A 22,648-nucleotide genomic window follows, 5' to 3' on the forward strand; every position below is an offset into this window, starting at 1 on the left:
TCTGTTAAAAATCAAGTTTCTTTCAGTCATGTATGATCCATTGGGCTTTATATAACTTTTAGCCTTTGCTTTGCAGGGACAGCAAAGATGTGAGCAAATTTGTGCAAACCTAATAGGGTGAAAAATTGAGGTATGAATTAGTAAAGTCATTTGTCCTTCTGGAAAGAGTTATGGATTAACAGATTACATTTGGGTATATTGTGGTTGTGAAAAGGTAACATTCTCAGATTGGAAAGGACTTTCTGAGATCATCCAACTTAACTTTCCCCACTTGACAGACAAGAAAACTGAGGCCCACAGAAGGTAACTTAGGCAATTAATTAATTATAGTTAATAATTAATTCTGCCTGCAGAACAGGAATATGGCCCCCAACGCTTCATGCTTAATTGGATGGCTTATTAAATTCTTATTTTTATGGTAGTGATGATGATGATAATAATAATAATAACAGTAGTAGCTAGCATTGTTTTCCAGTGCTAAGCACTTTAAATGCATTAATTCAGTTCATCTTTATGACAACACTATGAGATAGCTAATATTATGAATCCTATTTTCAGATGAAAGACTGAGTCTTAGGGAACAAACAGCCGAGAGATGAAATGCCACAGGGATGTCTAGGTTCAAACAGCAACAGAGGTGCGTACCATAGGGATGTGGAAGCCTTGCTTGTCTTGTTCCTCTTGGTATAACCCCAGTGAGTAGCATAGCGCCTGGTCAATTGGAGGGATTTGGTAAATATTTACTGAGTGAGTGAGAGGGTAAAACAGCTGAGCCATGGGAGTTATAACTTGGGCAGCAGTAATCCTGCCATTGTAGGAGGGGACAGATCGGCTGGTTAGTTTTTGGAAAGCAGACCAGCAGAAGTTGCAAATAACTTGTTGTGTTTTCCTAAGTACTGAGCTGTGTGAATTGGTTTCATGTTGATGTTACTGAAGTCTCCCCAATTCATCATCTACCTTGTAGCTTGTTGAAGAAAGAGTCCTTATTTACAGTCTATTATGTTAAACGTATTTTATTCCAGTTCTTTGAAAATGACCCATCCTGATTTGGAAAATCTCTAACTTGCCTGGTCATTCTGGAGCAGTGGGAGCCGACTGTGATGCAGAGTGGACTCATAATCCAGCTTGATTTTGAGGGACAGAAACCTGGGCCTTTAGGTAGAATGAACAGCTTAAAAGGCTGCACCTGAGAGTAGGGGGCATATGGGTAAATCCAGCTGTACCCAAGAGTTGGGGGCATATGTTAGCCCTACTGGGTAAATCCAGCTGCACCCAAGAGTAGGGGGTATATGTTAGGGCTAGTGCGTAAACCCAGCTGCACCCGAGATATGGGGTATACATGAGTGCTATTGGGCAAATCCAGCTGCACAGGAGAGTAAGGGGCATATGTTAGGGCTAGTGGGTAAACCCAGCTGCACCTGAGAGTAGGGGTATATGTTAGGGCTTGTGGGTAAATCCAGTTGCACCTGGCAGTTGGGGCATATGTTAGGGCTAGTGGGTAAACCCAGCCGCACCGGAGAGTTGTGGGTATATGTTAGGGCCAGTGGGTAAATCCAGCTCCATCTGAGATATGGGGTATACATGAATACTAGTGGGTAAATCCAGCTGTACACGAGAGTAGGGGGCATATGTTAGGGCTAGCAGGTAAACCCAGCTGCACCCCAGAGCAGGTGTATACATGAGTGCTAGTGGGTAAATCCAGCAGACGTCCGGACTGTGCTTGAGGGTGTCATCGAGAGAGAGAAGGTTGATCCGAAGTTAGTAAAGGCTTTAAAAATTAAAAGGCCTGAGATGATGGTAGGGTTTTGGAGGTAAGTATAAAAACCTTCTTGTTTTCTACTACTTAAAGCTGAAAACCCAGCTTGGGTTGGCTTTGCTTCTAATATCCTTCTTCCTTTTTGTTTCATAAGTAATTGTCCTGAAGCCTGTCGAGATAAATGTATACTGAAAGAGAAAGACACAGAGGAGAGACAGGCATACAGAGAAAGAGAGACACGCAGACACACGAAGGGGAGGTGGAGACACGGAGGAGGGACAGAAAGACAGAGAGAGACAGAAGGAGAGAGAGAGAGAGAACCTGTCTAGCGGTGTTTTTATGAGGTTTTTAGTGCTGGGCTTTGCATCGTGGTGACGGTGTGTGTGTGGGGGTGTTGATCACTGTTTTCAGTGTTCTCTGATCATTTCTTGCTTAGAAAGGAGGAAATTAGAATTGTTGAGCTATGATTTGTTTTAATCAGAAAGAAATTGTCTAACATAAATCTCTTCGTGAGCTCTGGAAAAGCCCCTAAAGCGGCCAGGAAAAAAATATCAATACTTTGCAAAGGAGGAATGATTGTTCCAATTCGTGGCTTAATTGACTTTAAGCCTTAATGAAACTAAGGCCGGAGCGGGTGGCACACTCCGTGGCTGGGATCCACAGTGAAATCTACGCTGGGAGAGGAGGAATTTAGGGTGGTAATTTGGTTCTTTGCTATTGACGAAATTTTCTAATTGACTGGGGTTACTTAATACCAGATAATATTTTTTTCTTGCTATAAAGAGAGTAAATTTGTTTTTTTCTGAGGAACACAGGAATTTATTTTAAATTACAGCTTTTTCTATTGGAAGCATTCATTTATGTTGGATTATTGTTCCCTGAGTGAAATTTCACTGATGCTGTATAATTAAATATAGATTTTTTTAGAGATAGTATATATTTTAGATGTATAAGTGGATAAACTGGAGGTATGGAAGGTCTTTATTTAAGGAGAATAAATAGCCCACCCCATCAACATGATGGCCCTTGGAAAGGACTCTTTTAGCCTCCGCGAGTTCCTTTTCCGCACCAGGCTCCACTTACGAAGGACTGCAAAAACTTGCTAACGTCATCAGTCTGAAAGGATTGAGCTGTAAAATGTGTTATGGGGGCCTAAGCAACGCATCTGGAATTTAGCCTTCCCAAGTTCAAATCCGGTTTATGCCACTTGCGAAAACCATGTGACCTTCACTTGTTCTTATTGCCTCAGTTTCCTCATCTGTAACTTGGGGATGATGACAGTATTTGGATCACAAGATTGTTGTGAAGATGAACTGAAGTGCTAATGTGAAATGTTCATGATGGTACCCGAGTACTTGCGGTGGTACCTAGCGTGTGCTTTCCAAGTGCTGGCAAAGAAAAGAAAAGAAATGCTTGGGGCTCTGCCTACCTGTCTAGGCTCCTGTCTGGCCATTCTCTTTCTTGTTCCAACCATATCAAACTCACTGCTGTTGCTAAACCTTCCTGTCTCTCTGCATCTTGGCACAGACTATGTCCTCTGCTTGGAAGGGTCTCAGCTAAGCTTTTCCTCCCCACATCTGCCTCTGTATCCTGTGAGTCTCTGTTCAAGGGTATCTTTCCCACAAAGCTTTCCTGGGCTTCTCTTTCCTGTCTCCTGCCCTCCCTTCCTTCTTTTGTTCAGCACATCGCTGTCAACCTTCTTCTCTGGGTCAGGTAGAGCACTGAGCACCAGTGATATGGCAGTGATAAAGAAAGCAAAGGTTCTCACTGGGTGTGGTGGCTCACGCCTGTAATCCCAGCACTTTGGGAGGCCGAGGTGGGTGGATCACGAGGTCAGGAGATCGAGACCATCCTGGCTAACAAAGTGAAAGCCCGTCTCTACTAAAAATACAAAAATTAGCAGGGCATGGTGGCGGGTACCTGTAGTGCCAGCTGCTTGGGAGGCTGAGGCAGGAGAATGGCATGAACCTGGGAGGCAGAGCTTGCAGTGAGCCGAGATTGCGCCACTGCACTTCAGCCTGGGTGACAGAGCGAGAATCTGTCTCAAAAAAAAAAAAAAAAAGAAAGAAAGAAAGCAAAGGTTTTTTCCTCCCAAGAACTCATGGTCCAAGTTTTGGTTTTTAAATATGCATCTATGACAGCACGGATCACATAGTGCATTGATTGTTTGCCTGTAGGTCTCCTTATTTAGTCAACAAGCATGTTTTGATCCTTTATTCTATACCAGCCGTCCCACTGGACTCTCAGCACATATAGGTATGCGAGACGTTGTCCTTGCCCTAAGTGTGGAGACAGACACGTAAATTAATAGTAATAATAATATCTACCACCCACTAGGGGTCTATGTGTGTATGTGTTGGGGGCGGTGTGGCTGGGGAGGGAAGCAAGGCCTGTATTATGGCCCAAGCTCAAGAATATTCGGGCAAGAGCAGATACAATGCCTGTATTTCTCATCACTTTTGGGTGGCATAGGACCAGTTGGTTATGAGCGTGAAAGGTTTTCTTTGACTTTGGTGGTCTAGTTAGTGGTTGAGAACATGGATTTTGGAATCAGCCCGGTGGAGGTTGGAATCCTGGCTGCGCCGTTCTGTAGCAGTGTTGTGGATCTCAGACAAGGTGTTCCTGCATATGCCTCTCTATCTTCCTACAAGAAATGGAGGTATTGCATCCCCGAACCGTAGGATGCTTGTCAGGATTAAATGAGATAACAGTGCCTGGTTAGTGGCACATGCTCAGTAACACCTGCCAAGTACCACTCACTGAGCCGAAATCTCCTGAATACCACCCCTTCATGCCTTGCACATCCTGGGTTCTAACTCATTGAGGTGCCCCCACCTTTCCTTCTTCCCATCAACAACTCTTGTGCCCACGAGGGACTGGCCTCCTCAGTGCCACACAGAGCCTCCCCTGAGTAGATTTGTGTCATTTTCAAACAAAGCATCCTGGCTGCAGTGTTGGATTTTGTAGGATGGTGACCGTTTACAGAAACCTCTGGTCCGTGAGCCAATTTGGAGAAAATTGAATCATTCTCTGTGCCTTTCGGCTTGCATCCTAAAAGCCTGCACAAACACTTTGGGCAGGCTTCAGCAACTTCACATCAAGGGCTCAATTGCAGCTCCAATATAAAAACCTCCCCCGTTGCTCTCTGTGTGTGAAGCTGGATTCCATGCTTGGCACAGACCTCGGTGCTCACGGTAATGCTTCCTTCCACCATATCAGAAGGTCCTCAGCAGCCGCAGCCACTTAACATGCTCGGTGCTTCTCTGTAGGAGGATTTTTAAAAAGCAGGAACTGTCAGGGTCCCAAATGTTCAGTGGCACTTCAGCCAGAGGTAGGATAGGGATTTTGAAGTGTTTGGAGAAGTGTTTTCATATTTGAATTTACGGGGATGGGGTGGGCTGGGGTAGGCAAGGGACAGACTGTAGCGATTCGCTTGGTGTTTTCTCATGATGCCAGAGAAAATGACCTCATTATCATCATGCTCACATTCACCTTTGCCAGGACCCCTGTGTAGAAATAATCATGAACTTAGTGACTGACAATCATAAGCGTTTTATGATTTGTGGAGGATTTATATGTGAAGGAAAATGGATGAATTAAAAATATTAAACAGCTTAGCCGGCACCCACATGGATGAATCACCGAGATCTATTTTTTCCCCGTTTATACTATAAACATATGGCATGAATTTTCTGCTCTCATTACAGATGCTGAGAGAAGGCAAAGACAAATATTTATATTACATTCATGTTTTACAGTAAAAACACTGTTCGGTTTGTTTACACAGTTCCACTGTTACAGTTTTTATGGTCGGTAATGCAACCACCGTAAAAGCAAGTCTGGGTTATATAGCAGATGTGATAAGCCCTCATACTCAGAGAGATGTCTGGGAAAGAATCGTTGATGTCACATGTACAGGATCAACAATGGAATTATGTGTTGGGACAGTCTAAGTTATGCTGTAATAACAACCAACCTCAAAATCTCTGGGGCTTGAAACAACAAAGGTTTATTTCTTGCTCAAACTGTATTTTCATCATGAGTTGCTTGGAGGGATCTGTGAGATGGGGATCTCACTCAGCCACCGGGGCCCACAGAGCAGCCTGCACTGCTGGATGTTGTGACAGAGGAAGAGAGGGATGTGCTGACCCTCGCTCTGGCTCAAAAGTGACTCCTGCCATCTCTGCTCACATTCCATTGGCCAAAGCAAGTCTCAGGGCCAAGGAGTGGGCAGTAGTAGGGTGCTGTGTGTGTGTACAAACCCACCATATGTGCATAGAGGGAGGCCGAGAACTGGACTATCAGAGAATAGCCAAAGATTTCTTTCCACGGTCATGTCAAGCCTTTTTGCTGTTATTTAATTGATGTTCTATTTTTAATGCAACATGGAATCAGAAGAATATAGAACAGGCGTCAAAGACCCTCCCGCCTCTGTAACCGCACTGTTTAAAATTGATGAGACTCTGTCTTCATTCGAAGATGATCTGATAGGAAGGATTCACAGCTTTCCCCAAGAATACACCACAGTGCATACAAATCCTCGAAGCCGCAGAACTTTTTCAAGTTGAACTGTGAACTGTGATTTTTTTTTTTTTTTAAGTAAGTTTACATGTAGAAGCTCATTGGTAGAGAGCTTTAGATATATTACTTCCCAGGGTGGTGCATCCTGTCACCATGAAGTAGGCATGAAATGCTGGAGATATGCGTTCATTCAAAGAAAATAAAAAGGCGCAATTATGAAAAGCTCTCAAAGTGACTTTTTATTTTATTTTTTATTTTTACATGGAGTCTCGCTCTGTTACCCAGGCTAGAGTACAGTGGCGTGATCTCAGCTCACTGCAGTCTCCATCTCCCAGGTTCAAGTGATTCTCCCGTCTCAGCCTCCAGAGTAGCTGGGATTACAGGCACCCACCATCACGCCCAGCTAATTTTTGTATTTTTAGTAGAGATGGGTTTCACCATGTTGGCCAGGCTGGTCTTGAACTCTTGACCTCAAGTGATCCACCCGCCTCGGCCTCCGAAAGCGTTGGGATTACAGGTGTGAGTCAGAGCACCCGGCCTCAAAGTGACTTTAACAGCAACTTAAAGGCGGTGGCTAGCTCTGCCCCATTCAGTATGGTAGCCACTGGCCATGTGTGGCAGTTGAGTGCTTGAAAGGTAGTTAGTCCAGATTGAAATGAGCTGTTGATATAAAATAACATGACTCCCAGGTTTCAGACAGTATAAAAAAATCTTAATTAACATTTTTATATTAGTTCCATGCTGAAATAATATTTGAGACATACTAGGTTAAATAAAATATCATTGAAGTTCATTTAATCTGTTTCTTTTTACCTTTTTTTTTTTTTGACACGGCTCCTGGAAAGGTTAACAATATGTAGGTGACCCTTTATTTTCATCAGACATTGCCGACCTAGAGGGTAACCACTGGAGAGGAAAAAAGTACAATTTGGTATTTTTGTCACAAATCCTTAATTGCTAGAACTCACAGTTTAACCTGACAGTTGATCAATTGATATCCTTTGACTTGTTGGAATTTTATTCTTTACATTCGTCTTTTAAAAAGCTTTATTTTATGCCAGATGCAGTGCCTCATGCCTGTAATGTCAGCACTTTGGGAGGCTGAGGCAGGTGGATCACTTGTGGTCAGGAGTTTGAGACCAGCCTGGCCAATATGGCGAAACCCTGTCTCTACTCAAAATACAAAAAGTTAGCCGGGCGTGGTGGCACGTGCCTGTAATCCCAGCTACTGAGGAGGCTGAGGCAGGAGAATTGCTTGAACTTGGGAGGCAGAGGTTGCAGTGAGCCAAGATCGTGCCACTGCACTCCAGCCTGGGTGACAAAGTGAGACCCTGTCTCAAAAGAAAAATAAATAAAAAGCTTTGTTTTAAAATAAGTTTAGATTCTCATAGAAGTTGCGAAGAATAGTCTATAGTATTCTTCACAAGGGTTCTGGGTACCCTTAACCCAGCTTCCCCAGTGATAGTCACAGCATAACAATCAAGTCTGGGAAATTGACACTGGCATGATAATATTAACTAACTACAGATTTTATCCGAGTTCTGCTAGTGTTTGCATGTACTCATTTGTGTGCGGCTCTCTCTGTGTGTGTGTAGTTCTATGAAAAGTTATAACATATATACATTTGGTTTACCAACATCATAGTCAGGATACAGAACTGTCCCATCTCCCCAAAGAAACACCCTTTACCTTAGTTTTTATTCTTTGAGTTATATCTTAACCAGGTTAACTGAGGGTAATTGTCTTAGGCAAGTTAGTACCAAATGATGCTCTTGGTTCCTTGTCTGTCTTTTTGCCCATCCAACCCACCCTTCACACATGGCCGAGTTATGCCAAACTTTGCAAGAGGTGCCAGGTGGGCACAAAGAAAAGAGGACTGCACTCAAGGAACTTAGTCTTTGAGGCCAAGCACGGTGGCTCATGTCTGTAATCCTAGCACTTTGGGAGGCTGACACAGGCAGATCACTTGAGGTCGGGAGTTCTAGACCAACATGGTGAAAACCAGTCTCTACTAAAAATACAAAAAATTAGCTGGCCGTGGTGGTGTGCACCCGTAGTCCCACCTACTTGGGAGGCTAAGGCAGGAGAATTGCTTGAACCGCGGAGGCAGAGATTGCAATGAGCCGAGATCGCGCCACTGCACTCCAGCCTGGTCCACACACAGAGTGAGACTCTGAGACTTCGAGACTCTGTCCCCAAAAAAAGACGCAAAGGAGCTCAGTCTTTGAAGGGTTACAGAAACAGTTTCACTAGAAGGTGTGACATTGTGTAACAGAAATCGGTTCCTTAACCTGCCAAAGGGAAGAAAATAGTGCGGAATCTTTTCTCCAGGTTTCAGGACCCATGTCTGTTGTCCTTCCTTTACCTTAACTTCAGCAGGGCAAGAATGGTTCAAGCCACATTAGAAAGCAGTTACTTTCTCACCCAATTTTAAAGGAGAAAGGTAGATGCGGTGGGTTCTAGGGATTTCAGTGACGTAACAGGTGTTTCCCAGGCATTAAGACCTAGTAAGGTTTCCATTTCCATTAGGTATTATGGATGCATTCCAAGAATTTAATTACTATAACATCACTTCATTCATTGTAATTCCTTACTAGAGTTATGAGAACTTGGGATTGTGTGGTTTCTTATTCAATCGATTAAAAGGTACTTGCTATAGTTTTCTAACTAGCTATTTATATGAAATTTAGTACTTGTCAATATGTATTAAATCAATACAGTTATATTTATCAAAGTGGTGAGAAGAGTTTACATCTGAACATAGAATAGATTGCTTGCCTTGGCCGGGCGCGGGAGCTCACACCTGTAATCCCAGCACTTTGGGAGGCCGAGGCGGGCAGATCACGAGGTCAGGAGATCGAGACCATCCTGGCTAACACGGTGAAACCCCGTCTTTACTAAAAATACAAAAAATTAGCCAATGTGGTGGTGGGTGCCTGTAGTCCCAGCTACTCGGGAGGCTGAGGCAGGACAATGGCGTGAACCCAGGAGGCGGAGATTGCAGTGAGCTGGGATTGTGCCACTGCACTCCAGCCTGGGTGACAGAGCGAGACTCTGTCTCAAAAAAAAAAAAAAAAAATAGTAGATTGTTTGCCTCAGTTGGGAAAAAATAAAGTTTTAAGGCTCTAGAATTGGAGTGACTCAGCTTTACTTGAAAAATCCCAGAATAGTAGGACCATCATTTAGAAGTTTCGAGACGATAATATTAGGGAAAAATAACAGCAAATGTTACTTGATAGACACTAAACTCTGGGGCATATGAGATGACCCAGGCTGGAAAACCACTGGCTTACATAAAGGTATTGACAGACCCATGGGTGTTAAGATCCTTCATGGCTACTGGGGAGAAATGACAGGCCTTTTGAAATCGTATCAGTGGTTTTCCCTGGGATCACTGGAAATAATACCCCTGTTTGACAAGATATGACACATGCTCTGTTTTAATTCTGCATTTGACTAACAGAAAAGATTGGTGAAGATCAGACTCTGCTTTAAAGTTATTGAAGCAGGGTACAAGGAAAAGGGGAAGGGAATAGAGGCTGCAGAGGAGAATGGGGGAAGGGGGCAGGAAGGTAAAATTTGGAGGTGCAGGCAGAGTCAAGGTCATGCCTGAGGCCCAACCTTCCTGTTGAAGCTGGTGTTTGATTCAAGCTGTGGCTGAGAACGTGCAGCTCATCTGGAGGGTAGAGTTGCAAGACATGGGTTCAGGTCTGAGCCAAGCCAGAAACTGGAGAAAGCGTGGCTTCTCAAGACTAGGAATACCTAGATTCCAGAGGTGGCGTGGGCATGGGGCACATTGTGACAAGTTAACAGCAAGATCTTCAGAGCTGCAGCTCACCTGTGCCACGATGGTCTCCTAGGAGCCCTTTCCTGCTGTAGTCCCGCCCCGAGGGGTTTCACTTCCCACTGCCTCTTGGTAGCCGTGGGCACTTTGGTGCTCTGATGATGTAACATGGAGATTGTCCTTGTCTCCATCGCTGTCTTTACTGGTGTATGCCCATGAGGTATGTCAAAGTCTGTATGTCTTTGTAATAATGCTGGATCATTTGTCCACCTTCAGAGACAACTGAAGACAGTTTTAAGTGAAACCACACAGAGGGCATATACCATTGGGACAAGAGGTCTGAAGTCTATTTTTGAGAAAGAGAAGAGATCAAGTAGTTAACAGCCAGTGGCTATCATAATAATGGCACCTAAACAAATCCTTCTTTTTTATTTTATTTAATTAATTAACTTATTTATTTTTGAGTTGGAGTCTTGCTGTGTCTCCCAGGCTGGAGTGCAATGGCGTGATCTTGGCTCACTGCAACCTCCGCCTCCCAAGTTCAAGCGATTCTCCTGGCTCAACCTCCTAAGTAGCTGGGATTACAGGCACCTGCCACCACGCTCAGCTAATTTTTGTATGTTTAGTAGAGACGAGGTTTCACCATGTTTGTCAGGTTAGACCGGAACTCCTGACCTCAAGTGATCCACCCACCTCGGCCTCCCAAAGTGCTGGGATTACAGGAATGAGCCACCACGCCCGGCTCAAATCCTTCTTACTTTTCCTCAAGAACTCACTTCCCACCCAAACCTTTCCTATTGTGGCAGCTGTTATCTTGTCCAGCACATGTGTCCACACTTGGTATTAATAGCTCCATCTTAGGAACTATGAAAGTGAGGGGGGTGGTGGTAATTTGCATGAACTGGTTTGGGCCAGTTATGGTCTGTTACATCCTTGCTGAAATGGTTGGTGCTAAGATGAGCACTTGGCTTAGGCCAGACCAGTCCCTAGCCTGTGGAGAAGGGGCAATCTCTTATCTGAAGGCCTAGGAGGTGCAGGGATGTTTATATGGGCTGCTAGCGCTTAGTTTCCTGCCACAGGGAGACAGTAAGAAAGGTGACGTCAATCTGAGATGAGAGAGAGAGCAAAACAGTTCTTTTGACCACCTTGACCCCGACCTTGAAATAAGGTGGAACTAATAAATCCCGCTTTGTGCTGGAGCAAGTTTTGGCTGAGTTTCTGTCACTTGCAACCAAATCAGTCCTATCCAGTATACCTAGTGACTCTCTGGTCTCCAAAGGCTATGCCTGCTGGGTACTGAGTGTCTCCCCGACCGACCCCATGATGGCTACAGTGCACATCCCTTCCAGCCAACTCTATTGTGCACACATATTCGTAGGGTGAGTTGGGCCCCAGGTAGAGTGATTGGCTCAGATCCTGCATCCTTTCAGGGTCTGACTGTAATCACACTGGCATGGCAGGGGGAAAGTGTATTGGATTTCAGAGTCAAAAACCACTTGGTATGAAACCCAGCTCATTTTCTATGTGGATGTCCAACCTGAGCCAGATAATTAATCTTGGAGATGACGCTGCATACTTCATCAAGTTGTAAAGTTGACTGCTGTGATAATGGAGAATGCTGGACAGGCTGCTTTTCATGTCATGGGTTCGCTATACTTTAGTTCCCATTATATCATCCTGCCAATCCCCATTTGTTGTTTTTTTGGGACCCAGGGTATCAGTCATCTGATCATTGTGTGACTTTCTCAAGGACCTTTACTTGAGTCTTGCACCTCTGGTCCACAATGTCCACATACCAGCTTGATGGTGACTTGTGTCATTCTCCATCCCCTTGTTAAGAGAAAATCTACTTTATGAGCCCTCTTTCCAACCGCAGTGTTGAGGACTAGACCAGGCAAGATGATGCCGCTGGACCACTGGATCCAGCTGGACCGCTAGACCACAGAGCCCCTGGAGCCTCCCAAGGCCAAGCCCGCCAGCCACACACACCTTTGTGAGAATTAAGAAAAGATGCCCCCTCCTCTTGGGGCCCACAGCTCCTCCACCTGGGCACCCAGCCTGGTGAACAGGGTGCAGGCTGGGATTTAGCCCTACCTTGCTTTTGGACCATTGAGCTACTAAGTTGGAGCAACAAGGCTTGGGAATTTTTCTTTGATCATAGGTAGGAAAGGTAAAAAAACATAAATCTGCCAATAGAAAATAGCATCGTAATGAGTTTCTACTATATTTGTTTGGGCTTTGAAAAATATGCCGCCACAATATATCAATGTATGGTCCCAACGTTTTAGGAAGTTGCATTTAAAAAATCTTGGATACCTGTTTTGTACATATTATATATAGCATCCCGTGTGAATATGTTAATTCCTTTTTATGAGTTTCGGTCTTTTTTCCCTCTCCTATACATGATTGCTGTTTTATAGCTCCAGTTTGGTGGAATTAACATAGATTTCCCACATGGGGAAGGTTTTGGGTGAGGATTTAGAACAAGGCAGGTTCTTGATCCTCGGAAGAGATTCTTATCTGAGAGGGGATTTGAGAATGGCATTGCAGAGTGGGAGGCGCTGCTGTGTGGAAAAATGAACTGGAATAATTATTAGAACAGTTCTCAGAATTTACAGGATATTTGATCATAGGAGTAACTTTCCTCAGGAGTGATGGATGGAATGCCTGTACTTGGAATATTTTTAAATTAATCTATTTTCATTACATTGAAAGTATGACACACAGAGAACACTAAAATTGGATGAGGCACTACCTGGAATTATATAAAGAATGACAAAGATGCGGTTATCCATTTATTTTCTAGGCAAGTTAGTTAGCCTCTCTGTGTTTCTATTTCTTTGTTTATAAAAGAGGGACAAAAATAGGACCTATTACTATCTAGGTGACAGGATCATTCATACCCCAAACCTCAGCATAATGCAATATACTCATGTAACAAATCTGCATAAGTACCCCCTTAATCTGAAATAAAAGTTGAAATTATTAAAAAAGAAAACGAAGGCCGGGTACGGTGGCTCATGCCTGTAATCCCAGCACTTTGGGATGCTGACGCGGGTGGATCACATGAGGTCAGGAATTCGAGACCAGTCTGGCCAACATGGCAAAACTCCGTCTCTACTAAAAATTCAAAAATTAGGCTTGGTGGCACGTGCCTGTAGTCCCAAGCTACTCAGGAGGCTGAGGCAGGAGAATCACTTGAACCCAGTAGGCGGAGGTTGCAGTGAGCCGAGATCGCACCACTGCACTCCAGCCTAGGTGACAGAGTGAGACTCCGTCTCAAAAAAAAAAAAAAAAAAAAGAAAGAAAACAAAAACAAATAGGACCCATATCCCTGGATTGTTGAGGAAATACGTGAACATATGTGGCACACATTATAGTGTCTGGCATACAATAAATACTTTGTAATGTTACTGGTGTCTTCTTACCGTTATTGTCTCACTGGTGACCGTTTGAAATGTTGAAGCTTTATTGTTACAGATAATGGTGGATATAGTCTCTTCCTTGTTTATTTTTTGACAGAATCTTTTTTTAAAAAAGTTTTTATTTGTTTGGTGAGAATTTACTTGTTACAGGTCTAGTGCTGTTATAGTTGAATGTTTTGAATTATGTAACTTAAGTGAAACATAAAGCTATGACTTGAATTTTGTGGTTAGAAATTTTCTCAGTCGATTGACAAGGATGGCGTATTGGCCACCTTTTGCCGCAGTAACAAACAATCCCAGACTCTCAAGGCTTGCAAAAATAAATGTGTGTTTGTTTGCTCATAACACATGTGGCTGAGGGTTGGCCGTGGCTCCACAGTCACGGGTGGGCTTTCCTGGGCTCAGCTTCTCACAGCGTCTCCTTGCAGGGCCCAGGCTGTAGGAGATGTCATCAGGGCCTGCAGAGGGCAAAACCTCACAGAGGCTTCTGTTCATACATTGTTGTACCTCATGTGTGCGTCATATTGTCATATATCAATGGCAGTAGCCAAGACCAACAGCCAAGACCAATGTATTCTGCCCACAGGAAAGTGAGGCAAAGGCAGGGAGGGAATGATAATTGTGAACAAAGAATTCACTTGACCAAAGATGGTTTTCTTGATATGGTTGCCACTTACCTTTCAGTAAAATAGCACTTCACAAATTTGTTTAATGTTTTATCTCAAGCTCCCAGAAGTAGCTAAAACCACGAACATACATGTTGAAAATTTCAAAAGGGAAAAAAGAAAAGAAAGGCACATCTGAGTCAGGAAAACATTAACTAGTCTTATTTCTGAGAATCAAACCGGTGGTCTTTTCAGTGATCAGTCACCCCATTAACCACACATGAATGGCACAAGTAGGAAATGCCTGCTTCAATACCAAGAAGCTGGTCTTATTTAGATCTAGTCTTATATCATTGAAATATCATTAGAATTCTTATGGAAAATATGTTTTGGCTGTTTAGGGGATGCTAGGGGCTGGAAGTGAGAAGGTTTCAACACCATATGGGTATGTGAGTATAGATGCTTACAAGAAGAAGGGTAGACTTAGCCAAAACTAATTTGGGATTTTTGTTTGTTTGAATTGTTGGAGGGTGGATGAGAGTGAAGACATATCCTTTTGAAACTTAATTTAATTTTTATTTATTATTATTATTATTATTTTCAATTTTTTATTTTTATTATTATTATTATTTTCTATTTTTTATTTTTATTTTTTGAGACGGACTCTCGCACTGTCGCCCAGGCTGGAGTGCAGTGGCGTGATCTCGGCTCACTGCAAGCTCCGCCTCCCGGGTTCCTGCCATTCTCTTGCCTCAGCCTCCCAAGTAGCTGGGACTACAGGCGCCCACCACCGAGCCCGGCTAATTTTTTTGTATTTTTGGTAGAGACGGGGTTTCACTGAAGTAGCCGGGATGGTCTCGATCTCCTGACCTCGTGATCCGTCCGCCTCGGCCTCCCAAAGTGCTGGGATTACAGGCGTGAGCAACTTAATTTAATTTTTTAAAACAATATATGTCTCTTTGGAGTCAGGGTGTTTGTTACAGTGATGTTTTGCAGACAGGTTTATTGGAACTGCTTGGTAGGTGATAGGTTTTTCTTTCTGTTTTTTAATTAAAAAATAAGATTGGCCGGGCGTGGTGTCTCACACCTGTAATCTCTGCAATTTGGGAGGCCGAGGCGGGTGGATCACCTGAGGTCAGGAGTTCAAGACCAGCCTGGCCAACATGGTGGAACCATGTTTCTACTAAAAATACAAAAATTAGCCTGGCGTGGTGGTGGGCACCTGTATTCCCAGCTACTCGGGATGCTGAGGTGGGAGAATTGCTTGAGCCTGGGAGGCAGAGGTTGCAGTGAGCTGAGATCATGCTACTGCACTCCAGGCTGGGCGACAGAGTGAGACTCCATCTCAAAAAAAAAAAAAAAAAAGATTTATGTCAAGAATTCACATTTCTGGCCTCTCTTAAAAATATTGGAAGACATGGCAATAATTATCTGGGACTGAATAGCAGCTGCTTCTTTTTGGGACAGGTGATCACCCCCAACCCCAAACCCCTACCCTTAACTCTTCTACTCCTTTGGATGTTATCCCTGCCTGGTTTAACCATCAACCCTCTTAACTCCCGATCCTTTTAAACTTCCTCTACTCTTTTTATTCTTAGCACTTAGAACCCACTAACGCTCTATGTAACTGTCTTACGTGTTCCATTTCTTGTTTCTAGACTGTCTCCCTCCAGTAGAATGTGCGTTCTGCTATACAGCAGTGCTGTGTGACGCGATAGCAGGTCCTTTTTAAACATCTGTTGAAGGAGAAAATGAAGGCACACGTGGCCTTGCTGACATCTGAGTTTGCAACTTCTTTTATGCCTTCTGCTAACTGGGACCCCAGTGGGCTTCCCTGCTACACCCTCTGAGGTTCCCCAGTCCTGCCAAGCTGTTCCATCCCCAGTTCCTTGGTGCCTGCTGGTACTTCACCCTGGAGAGCCCAGCCCTTCCACTTGTTCAGATCTCAGTCTCTCATCTGGGAGGGACAGCTTGAGCACTATGACCTGTGTGAAGCTTTTCCCAGTGCTGGCAGACTGACTGGAACCTGCTCCTTCATTAAACCTGACAGATGCCTCCACCTGGCAGTTCTACCCTAAGACCATGAACTTCTTGAGGGAGGGAGATGTGACTTTTCATCCCTGGGACCCAGCAGCTGGCTCACCTCCTACTGGTTAGTGGGTGATGATTGGATGGCTTCCGAATGAACTCAGGTGTCTTAAGTACCGTTGGTCCTGACACCATGGCCACCTTCCAGAAATTTCCACATGTTAAGATTGCAGATGCAGGCTGGACACATTAGTGATTTCTAAGTGCTAAGAAAAAAAAAGAGCGGCTCACACCTGTAATCTCAGCACTTTGGGAGGCTAAGGTGGGCGAATCACCCCAGGTCAGGAGTTTGAGACCAGCCTGAGCAACATGACGAAACCCTGTCTCTACTAAAAATACAAAAATTAGCCAGACATGGTGCTGGGCATCTGTAATCCCAGCTAGTTGGGAGGCTGAGGCAGGAGAATTGCTTGAACTCTGGAGACAGAGGTTGGCGTGAGCTGAGATCGCACCACTGCACTCCGGCCTGGGTGACAGAGCAAGACTCTGCCTCAAAAAAAAAAAAAAAAAAAGAAAAAAAAAAGATTGAACATGTGGAATATGAGACAAATGAAAAAGATTGAATTCCGTTCCAACTGGGCTTTTGAATTTATTTTCGCACTTCCTATTTTTTGAGCCCGGGAGTGCAAGATGTAAGCTAAGAAAAGATAAGATGAAAGTATTGCTCTAACATTCTGGCTTCCTTCTATTAGAGAAGAATGCAAATCTTTGCCTTATCTCGATGATGGGCCCCACTTAACCCTTTGTTTTACTGAGAGCACTTTTCTGCAGATGATCAAGTGGAATTTACTATGATGGCCTGTCAAATCTTGAAATAATCTACCTTTAAGGAAGAAAAGTTTAACTAGATGATTGTACCTTTTAGCCATATCTACAATTAATTTGAATGTATTGCAAGCTGTTTAAAATATTCCATTAGTGAAGAAGGTAAGCCTAGCTTCTGGTAAATACACTACTAAGTGTTTATAGTACATTTCATATTTTACATGATTTCCTTTATAATTCTGCTTATCTTTTCATTCTAATTCCCTGAAGGACATATAAAAGAACCCCTAAAGAGAGTAATTACTGCTGTACTCTTTAACCAAGGCTCCTTTTGCAAAGAGAAATCTGAGCTGCTTTTTAAAGAAGGCCGTTTTTAAATAAAAATGCAAATAAGCTACTTTGTAACCACATTAATTACCCACCTAGCCTCTTATTACCATGTTTGTATTGTTTGCAAATACTATTTACAGTCGTGTGGAAATTAACATTACTGGTCCTGAGGAAAGATTGTGTTGGGGAGGTTGTGCTTTGGAACCAATTAGGGCGAACCTTGTCTCCACTGAGACTCTGGGGAAAAGCACAGCCTTGCAATGTCAAATAATAGCATTAGCTCTGACTGTACAGGCAGAGTGCTGTAATTATATTATTGGCCCTATTTTGCTTCTGCAATGAATTTCATTGCCTGCATTGTAAAATCAGCAGGTAGCAAAGTTTCTGCTAATGATTTAATGTACTCTCTGATCATTTTGGACAAAAGTCATGGTAAGATCCACAAGGCAATTTTATCATCCCCACTGACTACTGCCTGGTTTAAGCATTTTAAGTGAAGACAAAACATGATTCTCATCTCCTTGTTTCCTGGTGAATTCCTTCCCACACAGAAGAGAGAATTACTTGTCTAATATATAATTTCAGGCATAAGGAGAAGGTGATATTGCATTGCAAATAATAGCAGTTAGTGGGAGTTGAGAGCCAGCTCTGCACCAGACTCGTATCAGCCACTTGACCTCCATTATTCCTTATTCCTTGGTACCTCTGCGCCATCTGTGATATCAGATCCTTTTTTCTGCAAGGAAACTGAGGCTCGGCGATACTAAGAAACTCAGCCAGGGTCCGTCAGCTGTCAAGTGGCATTGCTGGCACCCAGATTGAGGGCCATCTGACTCCAAAGCCACCTGACTCTTTCCCATATACCACAGTTTCTAATACGATATTATACCAAGCTTTAATATGAGCACACCTCCTGGATGATGCTGTAAATTAGTTGCCTCCCACCACACCACATCAAGTATAATGGATATAATATGATTTTTCAGAATTCAGCTAATTACCTACTGAGCTTTACATTTTGTAACTTTTTTGACTGTCCATCAAAATGTCTTTGGGATTAAAAATTTTTTTCATATGTTTTGAGGTCAATTTGAATCTGAGTTTAATAAACGTTACCATGAAACATTTCTCCCATCTTTTTAGGAAATATCTGTGAATAAACTCATTTTGTGATAGAAGGCTGTGTGTTTATCCAGTTTTCATCCTAAGGAGAGGGGGAGAAGGGAAATAATACTTCACGTCTTTATTGCATGCCAAACGTTTATAGACATTATATGATTTCATCCTTTAATAACCCCATGAAAAGGATGTCATTGTCTTCACTTGACAAATGAGGGAGATGGCAGTGCAATCAAGACATACTGACAAGGAGAGGAGGTGAGCGACTTGCCCGAGGCCACGCTGCTGATACCTTGGCAGAAGCAGAATTTGAAAACAGAGCCCCCATATGTTTTAACTGCTCATTGGAAACTGACTAGGTCACATACTCCTCCTCCTTCCCTGTACTGGTAGTTTTTCTTTTATTTTTTTTTTAAATTTCTTCCATTTTCTTTCCTTTTTACAGCAAATTTGTAGTTATGGTGGAGCAAAGGGCAGTTTTCACTCCTCTTCCCTAAAACTGTAGTTTAACTAAAAAGTGGCCACTGTCTCCTGGTAGCGGTTGGTAAGCCATCCAGTCTCTGCAGGCATCTACGCTCCAGGTCTCCAGTCTGAGGAGTCTGGCTCCTGGGGCAGGTGCCTCTGGGGGTCTCTGCCAGGCTTGTCTGGTCATGCAGCTACTTCCAGACTGATTCCTAGATCTTGCATTTTTACATAGGACATCCCCAGCATTCAAAGAAGATCCTGGGAACTGGATTCCTACCAGAGGAATTAGAATGAAACCAACAAAACTAAAAACGACACCCTCCCCCATCCCCCGCATCCGATACACATGCAAGGTAATATTTGATGTCAGTAGGAAAAAAATCCAGTGTTATAGGAGACAAACCATAGCAAGCAATGGCCTCTCACCCTTCCCTTCACACCCTCCACTCTGTCCACTTGTTTGTTCCTTCAATAAATACTGATGGAGAATGGGCTCTATGCCAGTGTTTCTCTGGATGTTGGCTGCAGGGATGAACAAAGGCAACTTCTAGGAGAAATTTCTGTTTTTGATGCTCTCGTGGCTGCTTCCTGTGTCTTAATATTGTGCTTAAACTGCCACTTCTTCAGCTGTTGATTTCAGGCACTATCTAATGACTTTTGCTGTTACGAGCATGGATTTAGCTCATTTTTACCATCTTCCCTAGTTGTATCACCTTCCTCCCATTATGTTTGTAACTTCAGATTTTGTATATTTCGCATATGTCAATATGTAAACATTTTATATATATATATATGCATTCACACACATGCATACATATATGTAATGGTATATATACATGTAAGTTTCCATTTTTGCTCAAATTGCTCTGGACAGTTCTTTGCTCTGGGAGTTCTTTACTCCCTTTCTCATAAGAAGAGGCTGTTTGTACCCTGATCAATCCCTCTACCTCTTCTTTTCCCCTTTCACCCGTAACTTCTGCTACTTATACTTCTGCCTTATCATGGTCCATAACATTCACCTTCCACTCTGTAGCCATAATTAAATCTCCCATGCATCCCACTTTGGGAGGCTGAGGTGGATGGATCACCAGGTCAGGAGATTGAGACCATCCTGGCTAACACGGTGAAACCCCGTTTCTACTAAAAATACAAAAAATTAGCCGGGCATGGTGGCACGTGCCTGTAATCCAAGCTACTCGGGAGGCTGAGGCAGGAGAATCACTTGAACCCAGGAGGCGGAGGTTGCAGTGAGCCCAGATCGCACCACTGCACTCCAGCCTGGGTGACAGAGCGAGACTCCATCTCAAACAAACAAACAAACAAACAAACAAACAAACTAAGAACAACAACGAAAAAACTCCCATGTATTATCTATGGATTGACTGTAAAATATGAGAAGCAATAAATATGTTCATCACTAGGGCCATCTAGAAATTTCTAACCCAAGGGTCAACTAATCTTTCCCTGTGTTGTATTTCCTGCTCTGCGGATCCGGCATCATGACCTTTGTACTACCCAGGAAAGCCAGTGTTCTCATGGGCTCTTCTCTTTTTTATGCTCTACCAGATGCTAGCACTGTGGCATGCCATTCGCTCACTAGCAGCTTAAAGGGTACAGGTTCTAAATCTCCTTAGTGCTACTCACCTGTTATTTCTGAGCCTGCGTAGATGATCTTCTTTTATTCAGACGTCTGTGTCACATATACATGACATCCTACCCCCTTCCCATAAAAAAAATCACATTTGTGAATGTCTCTCTTAGGCTGAGTTCCAGACTCCAAGATCCCTCTTCTCTCTTGTCAGAATCCAGCAGCTGATGGCATTTATGTCTGTAGATTTCACTGTCAATGAGTCATTGACAGGCTAAGCAGGCTGTTGGATGGAGTGATCAATGGTATGAGGGAAAACACTAATGTATGCAAGAAGAGCCATTTCCTAGTAGGAAAAATATTTATGTATGGAGCCACAAAGGTGATCGCTTCAGTAGAAATCACCAAGGACCTGGTAGTCAATGTGCAACCTAATTTTCTTTCAAAAGCTGTAGGAATGGCAAGGGAGGAAATAAATAATGCATTTCTTTATATCTCCTGTTTTAAGTTACTGAGTGTCGCCAAGAGATTTCTAAGGCCAGACATTGAGTCAGCTGTAAAACTGGAAGGAGCAATGTTTGCTGACTGTTGCCTCAGCCGCTGACCCTGATCTCCTCTGCACGTAGTAGGCAGCTTAAAAATTCCTCGCCCGACTTCTGATTTTCACGTGACTCACTGCTTAGTTGTCTGGGTTTGTTTTAATTCCTTTCCCCCTGCTGACAGTTCTTTAAGTGGATGTCTATAAAGGTTGGGGCATTCGCTCTTACAACAATAGGAAAAGAAAGGAGGAAGGAATAAAAAAGAGAGAAAAGGAATAAAAAAAAGTTTGGTTTAGATGTCTGATTTCTCTGAGCCTCAGTTTCCCAGCATGTAAAATGTTGTGAGGGCTCACACTGGTCTTGTCCAGGTGCTTAGTAGAGCATCCATTACACCATAAAGTATCACAAAAATTTTTAATATCATCATTATTACTGTGCTTTCCCTTGAGTTTTTTTTTTTTTAAATCAGTTAATCCACATACTGGCAGATCTGACTTCCTTGTTTTAGGCCCTGGGGAATTTTTGTTATCTGTAGAGCTGGATTAATTTTACAGTGTGGTGCCTTTGCCCAAGGTGAACCTGTCTGTTTATAGAAAGTGTCACCAAGTTCTGTCTTGGGCCCGTCCACTCGGTTATATGTGCTGGACCCTGGGTGGAAGCACTTTGCACGTGTGCATTCACGATGGGCTGTGCTGGAGGGGAAAACAGGCATCACTCCCAAATTCTATTCATGCAATTAAAAATTCCTTTCATTTTTATTTGTGAGAGGGTATGGGTGCACAGCAGACGGCAAACAGAAGAAAAGCTTTTGATTGAAAGGTAAACATTTACTTCTGCCTTTTAAATAGACATAGCAAGTCTCTTTACTCTCATGGAAGCAGTTATAAGGAACATAGAGCTGAAGAGAATATGACCATTTCTGGTCTTTTACTATGCTCGTATTAATCCACCCTGGATAGAAGGGACTGTACTATTTGGAAACACCTAAATAAAATGTTTTTGTCTTAAGGTGTTAAAATGTACTCATTAATGTGGCAGTGTATTCCTTTTCTTCTGTGATCGTTGAAGTAGGGAAGGAATTTCAACTAAGAACCAAAATGATTGTCTGTTAAGACACTTATTTTTTGAGAAGACAAATTAATATAACATTATTATGTGGGGAATGTGGAAAGGCTAAGGTTGTATTGAAAACTTATTAAGCTTATGAGAATATTGAAAGCATGAGGAGGCATGACCGGAAGGTATTAATGATTTGGGCTTGATTATTCTAAGACTGTATTCTAAGTCTAAAATGTTGATAACTAAGACCTGAAATGATAAATGTTTGGCAAAACCAAATAAATGAGTAGCAGGTTGAAAAAAGAGGCAAGAGAGAAGTAGATATTTATAGTTTTCTAAAACAATTTAGTCCCTTCTGGAAGAGAGTCCTACCTCAGCCATGCCTACCAGGTTGTGTTTGTGGGATTATTTCTGAGTCACCCTTAAGCTCATCTTTACCCCTCTCCCAGACCCCCAGTCCCCTCACTGGGCATTCCTTGGATTATTTATTTATTTATTTATTTATTTATTTATTTATTTATTGTTTGAGACAGTCTCACTTTGTCACCAAGTCTGGAGTGCAGTGGTGTGACCTTGACTCACTGCAACCTCTGCCTCCCAGGTT

The 22,648-nt window shown here is 43.0% G+C and overlaps 1 protein-coding gene across 4 annotated transcripts in view, besides 1 other annotated feature; it reads left to right on the forward strand.

Annotated features, from left to right (window-relative positions):
- Nucleotides 1–22,648, forward strand: part of WWOX (WW domain containing oxidoreductase) — a 1,113,014-nt gene that overhangs the window by 79,496 nt on the left and 1,010,870 nt on the right. The gene's annotated exons all lie outside the window — the stretch shown is intronic.
- Nucleotides 20,943–21,237: an enhancer, noted in NCBI's record as "tiled region #1447; HepG2 Activating non-DNase unmatched - State 6:EnhF, and K562 Activating non-DNase unmatched - State 22:ReprW". NCBI's record gives its function as "activates a minimal TATA promoter and a strong SV40 promoter by Sharpr-MPRA in HepG2 and K562 cells {active_cell/tissue: HepG2 | K562}" and the evidence as "EXISTENCE:reporter gene assay evidence [ECO:0000049][PMID:27701403]".

This window comes from Homo sapiens, chromosome 16, assembly GCF_000001405.40.
Source record: "Homo sapiens chromosome 16, GRCh38.p14 Primary Assembly".
NCBI lineage: Eukaryota > Metazoa > Chordata > Mammalia > Primates > Hominidae > Homo > Homo sapiens.